The sequence below is a fragment of the Homo sapiens genome, chromosome 15 (assembly GCF_000001405.40).
Source record: "Homo sapiens chromosome 15, GRCh38.p14 Primary Assembly".
NCBI lineage: Eukaryota > Metazoa > Chordata > Mammalia > Primates > Hominidae > Homo > Homo sapiens.
Window position 1 is genome coordinate 24,771,472 of NC_000015.10, and position 5,390 is coordinate 24,776,861.

At 41.6% G+C, this 5,390-nt stretch overlaps 5 annotated features.

Annotated features, from left to right (window-relative positions):
• Window positions 800–1,696: an enhancer, noted in NCBI's record as "H3K27ac hESC enhancer chr15:25017418-25018314 (GRCh37/hg19 assembly coordinates)". NCBI's record gives its function as "activates a minimal SCP1, AML or CMV promoter by ChIP-STARR-seq in naive and primed H9 embryonic stem cells {active_cell/tissue: H9 hESC(naive and primed)}" and the evidence as "EXISTENCE:reporter gene assay evidence [ECO:0000049][PMID:30033119]".
• Window positions 800–2,592: a biological region, named in NCBI's record as "H3K27ac hESC enhancers GRCh37_chr15:25017418-25018314 and GRCh37_chr15:25018315-25019210".
• Window positions 1,548–1,717: an enhancer, noted in NCBI's record as "experimental_39217 CRE fragment used in MPRA reporter constructs". NCBI's record gives its function as "activates a minimal promoter by MPRAs in K562 erythroleukemia cells, with activity observed for both the introgressed and non-introgressed 15:25018251 variant alleles {active_cell/tissue: K562}" and the evidence as "EXISTENCE:reporter gene assay evidence [ECO:0000049][PMID:34662402]".
• Window positions 1,611–1,905: an enhancer, noted in NCBI's record as "tiled region #9168; HepG2 Activating DNase unmatched - State 1:Tss, and K562 Activating non-DNase unmatched - State 3:PromF". NCBI's record gives its function as "activates a minimal TATA promoter and a strong SV40 promoter by Sharpr-MPRA in HepG2 and K562 cells {active_cell/tissue: HepG2 | K562}" and the evidence as "EXISTENCE:reporter gene assay evidence [ECO:0000049][PMID:27701403]".
• Window positions 1,697–2,592: an enhancer, noted in NCBI's record as "H3K27ac hESC enhancer chr15:25018315-25019210 (GRCh37/hg19 assembly coordinates)". NCBI's record gives its function as "activates a minimal SCP1, AML or CMV promoter by ChIP-STARR-seq in naive and primed H9 embryonic stem cells {active_cell/tissue: H9 hESC(naive and primed)}" and the evidence as "EXISTENCE:reporter gene assay evidence [ECO:0000049][PMID:30033119]".

Below are 5,390 nucleotides of genomic sequence, written 5' to 3' on the forward strand. Positions count from 1 at the left end.
TAAAATGTAAGAATCGCTCTCTTAATATTGACCTTCCAATTCATGAAATTAGTGTATCGCTGTATTTATTTAGATCTTTTAAAACTAATCTCATCAGTGTTTCCTAATTCCCAGAGTACAATTTTTGCCAGATTTATCTCTAAGAATATCATTTTTATATTGCTGTAAATATATTTTAACTTCAATGCTCAATTTTTCATTATCGCTATAAGGGAAGACAGTTGATTTTCACCTATGCATTTTTGCAAACTAAGAAAATCTAGTGACAACCATGTGGTATATATATTGCTACATGTGAGGCATGGACAAATGAACAACAAACATACATTTCTCCTATATCTGAGACATCAGTCAAGCTGATATTCGAACATATAGGCAATAAAAATCAGATTAGAGAGGCTGCATAGTTATGTGGAAATCCACAAAATGCATGTGCATACAACACTAATTTAAATGGTCACTGCAGGTATCCTGCAGGAAGTAATTTAAGATTGAAAACATGAATAAGTAGCTGAAAAACGATGCAAATTTAAGCTGGGAAAGACAAAAGAATGATTAGTATTCATGTAGAAACCATGACATGTATACAAGTCAAAATATTTGAGGCATCACAAGAATAGCAATTTCAGAACACATGAAGGAAGTTACAAATCTATGTCAGGGCTAGATTTTTAAGAAATTATGTGGGGTTGAGGCTCAGCCCCTGCATTGGCAAAGAAAAAGTTATGGGTGATGAAAATAGACAACCTAAAGTCCTGGAAAAGAGTCCACACAAAATTTTAGTATTTTCAAGGTAGAAGCTTCTCTTGACTCAGTTGGACCTCCCTGTGAAAAATACGAAATCAGAAAAGGAACTTTCCACCTAGAAAACGAATTTCAGTACCAAGCATAGGTTGCTTTCACGCCTAAACCCCTCCTTACTTGAATTGCAGAAGTACCTGCTATACTGTAGTTTTTGGGCATGAGGGACCCCTGTGCTCACAGCGCCATCTAGCATCAACAGAAAGGGGGGCTGATGGCAATAGAAAGGGGGGCTGATGGCAGCCTTAATAAATTCAGGAGAGGAAAAAAAAAAACACAAAACAAAACAGATGGCGGCCCAGCATCCAGGAACTGCTGTGTTCATTTGAGTAGGATTTTTCTTATATTCGTTTAAAAACTGAAACATAATTCATAATTGCTGCAGGGGTTAGGGGTGAAATGCAATTGGTAACCATTCCCAGTAAAGACTCAGGGAATCCTGGCCCAAGACCACATTTCCTGTCATTTAACGCAAGGGTTAAAAGGTCGAAGTGAATCCCATTACGCTAACTGATTTCATTTACAAACATGGATGTATAGGAGTGTGTTACTATGCACGGAATCATACTTCGGATGTGAGTGTAAAACGAGTTCAGCTGATTTTGCACTGTCACATTAAACCCGGAACCATGTGTTTCCATATACATCACGCTCCTCTTTGGTAGCACTACAGTTCATAAGATGAATGTAATTTCTTAGATTACAGCCTTAACGGGTTATTACTCTTTCAATGTTTTCTAATGTGATATAGATGTCGGACGTATTCGCTCAAGTATACGTGGCGGGGCCGGGGTCCCGACCGTCTGTCGGAGCGAGCTGTGCCGCAAAGCCCAGCTACTCCGATCTCACAGGGATGGTGGCAGGAAATGCGCCATTGTTCGGCGCAGCGAAACAGCCCGCAGTGCGCTGTAGGAAGGTCACATGACAGAGGGGGAAGACGGTGGCCGGCAGCAGCCGATCCACTGCGCGCCTGCGCGGCTCCGGTGGCGTGAATGTCGCTGGTCTCCCGTCACCGTTTCCGTTTCCGGGCGAGTCTGTTCGGCTTATGGCGTCTGCTAGGAGTCTCCTATCCGGCGTTTGTGCCGCAGAAAACCTTTAACCTGCGTTTTACCCGTAAACATTTTCCTTTTTAGGCTTCCTATCATTGTTTTGGTTCTTGCTCCTGTATTAACTTTGTTTTTGGTTTTTTCTTTTTTTTTTTTTTTCAAGACGGAGTCTCGCTCTGTCGCCCAGGCTGGAGTGCAGTGGTGCGATCTCGGCTCACTGCAAGCTCCGCCTCCCGCGTTCACGCTATTCTCCTACCTCAGCCTCCCGAGTAACTGGGACTACAGGCGCCCGACATCACGCCCGGCTAATTTTTTTAATTTTAATAGAGATGGAGTTTCACCATGTTAGCCAGGATGGTCTCGATCTGCTGACCTCGTGATCCGCTCGCCTCGGCCTCCCAAAGTGCTGGGATTACAGGCGTGAGCCACCGCGCTCGGCCGTATTAACTTTGTTTTAACCTAAGTTTTGTTTCTTTTTCCCATAAAAATACCTTAGTGTTTATGCAACACTGTCTTTTCATAAACGTTGCACAGACCATGATTTTATACCCTTTCTTTTAAATATTAATTTTCATTTCTCTTTTTTCTGCATTCGTCTGAAAAATTGAATTATTTTTCAATAATTTTGAAATTACTGTCATTTTTTAAGGGATACTTCTTTAATCATGTTTGTATTTTCCCTAAGATTCTCGATTGACTCTCTTTTATCTTTTCCAACTAAGCACCTGTTTTACGAGAGGTATTGTGGGGGCTTCAAGGTCAAACTTTCCCCCAATGCCTCTATATCCATTATAAAATACCATTTTTTATTTTAACAAAAAGTTGTACAAGGTTGAAAGAAGTTTCTCAGCTATATGCTTTTCTCTGTATCCTGACTTCCCTTACTTCATCACTCTATCCATCACTTTACAACTGATAATTCAATCCCAAAATTCTTTTACTAATCGGCTTATTAAATTTGTGCCTTCCATTTGAAGAACCGGGGGTTACCCAAGGCCTGATTTTTCCTAGGACACTGGGAGAACACAAGATCTGGTTCCCAGTGCCAGAGAGATGATCACCTAGGAAGAAACAAGTCATAGGTCAGACAAGAGCCACAAGGGCGTCTGCCGTTCTAAACACATTTCCTGTTAGACAGACACTTGGTTATGGGTCAGACAGTTATGGCTTAGGGCATTGGCCACGTAAAAGAAGTATCCCATGAACGGCACACTGTAAACACCCATTTCCAGCTCCCTTTCATCTCCCATTACGGCAGAGTTGATCGCCATTCTGGTACCAGGACCTGGATATAGTTGTAAGTTCCTAGAACCGGAGGTCAGAATTGGCCTTGTACAGTACCTGTAGGAGTCTAAATGAGGGCTACCTACTGGAAGTCAATGAAACAAAGATTTAAGGTGGATCTAAATGGAAATACATATATCTCAAACTGCTATACACATAATAGTCTGATTTTGTACATATGAACTTGAAAGTAAAAGTAATTCATAAATGAATTCGCAATATTTTGAAACTAATTCTGATCTGAATTGGATTTTGAATCAGAAGTCATGGATGTCTTCCACCGTCTGTGCCATGAAGAGAGATGGCAATGAGGCATTCCTTAGTAAATGAGGCTGCACTACTCTGTGATTTCAACCTGTCCTGCTGACACCTTTGTGCATGTTTTGCTGCAGGTGACATTACAGAAGGAAATAGCAGAAGGTTTCAAAACAAGTTCATCCATGTGCAGACAATGAAAACTATGCCATGGCTGCAAGAAGGCTAACAGAATTGTAACATTTGACAGAAAATAATACAAAAAAGTGAAATATGATAAGTAAGAAGGATATGGAAATATTTATTAAGGGAGCCATATTAGTAGAGCTACATCTTACAGAACAAGAACATCTTCCTTGATCAAAGGGGCAAAACTTTCCAGGAGAGAAAAGGAGCATATGAGGTAGAAATAGCGTGATCCATAAGAGGGTCTCTACAATGGCTTGAGAATGGGGAGACAAGAAGAGTCAGGGAGACAGCAGGGTTTACACCTGTTCTGAGAACAGAAAGGAGCAAAAAAAAAATGTTCATTTTCAAGTTCAAATCCTCTTCAGATTGAAAGATAGAGTTAATTGGGGAAAAGACAAGAATATAGTAAAGAGTTTGAGAGATTCATTCATATGTAAAATTCAATATTAAAATAATCTGTGTTGCTTTTTGGCCACTGCATGTGTTGGGCTCACAGGGGAAAATATTTTTAAAATTTATGTCCTCTGATTTCAGTCCAGTGGGAATTCAGAAAACTTAACAAAATCCAAACTGTAAGTGGAAGCGTGCCCCTGGGAACTGAGAGGACAGGCATGAGACCTGTAATGGGATGGACAAGGAAGGCCTCTAGGATGAGGAACATTGGAGGAGATTCTGAAGATTGAGGAACGGTTTTTGACCAAGCAGAGGAGGGGAATTAGAAGAGGAAAAAGACTGTCCATGGCACAGGCCAGGGCATGAGAAAGGGGCAGTGGATTTCAAGGAATTCTGGGAGCTACTGTTTGTAAATTATAGGAGTAAAAAGGGAAGAGCACTGTGGGACTGGGTGTTAATCCAGTGTAGATGTTTCTCCATGTACATACACTTGTTCACACAGCTGAGCCTAGTCTACATGTCTCCTTATGTTCTTTGGTATTCTCCTACAAGCCTCATGATTGTTTTTGGTGTCTCAGAGCATAACATGCGTTACAATTCCAGAAAAATATGCAAGGTCTGGGAGGAAGAAATTTGTATTATTTCACTCAAGTAACATCCCATTACCTTTGTAATAGTCTGTGTTTCAAGTACATCCCATATCCTGTCCACTGTCAGGCGTGGCAGATTATACTACAGGGTTTTGTAAAACAACAGGTAGGGTTCATTGAGCACCATCTTATGGTCTACCTGTCACATCGGGTCTTTTCCAATCTGCAGTAGTTTCTCAGTCTATTTTGCATGACTTTGACCCTTTTGAAAAGAACTGATCAGGAATTTTGTGGGGTGTCCCACAATATGGATTTGTCTCATGTCTTCTCATGATTAGACTGGGGACATGCATAAATTAAACATGTCTAAATTTGATGACAAGAAAAACTGTACAATATACTATTAAGTAAGGTAAGGCTAGGCACAGTGGTTCATGCCTGTAATCCCAATCCTTTGGCAGGCTGAGGCAGGAGAATTGCTTAAGCCCAGGAGTTCAAGATCAGGCTGGGCAACATGGTGAGACCCCCATCTCTACAATAAATTTTAAAAATTAGCCAGGGTTTGTGGCACTTGCCTGTAGTCCCAGCTACCCAGGAGGCTGAGGCAGGAGGATTGCTTGAGCCTAGGAAGTCAAGGCTGTGGTGAACCGTCTTCATGCCATTGCAATACAGCCTGGAAAACAGAATGAGATCATATCTCTCATTTTGGGGAGGTGGGGGGACAGGGTCTCACTCTGTCACCCAGACTGGAGTGCAGTGGCGTGATCTTGGCTCACCACAACCTCCGCCTCCTGGGTTCAAGTGATTCACCTGCCTCAGCCTCTTGAGTAGC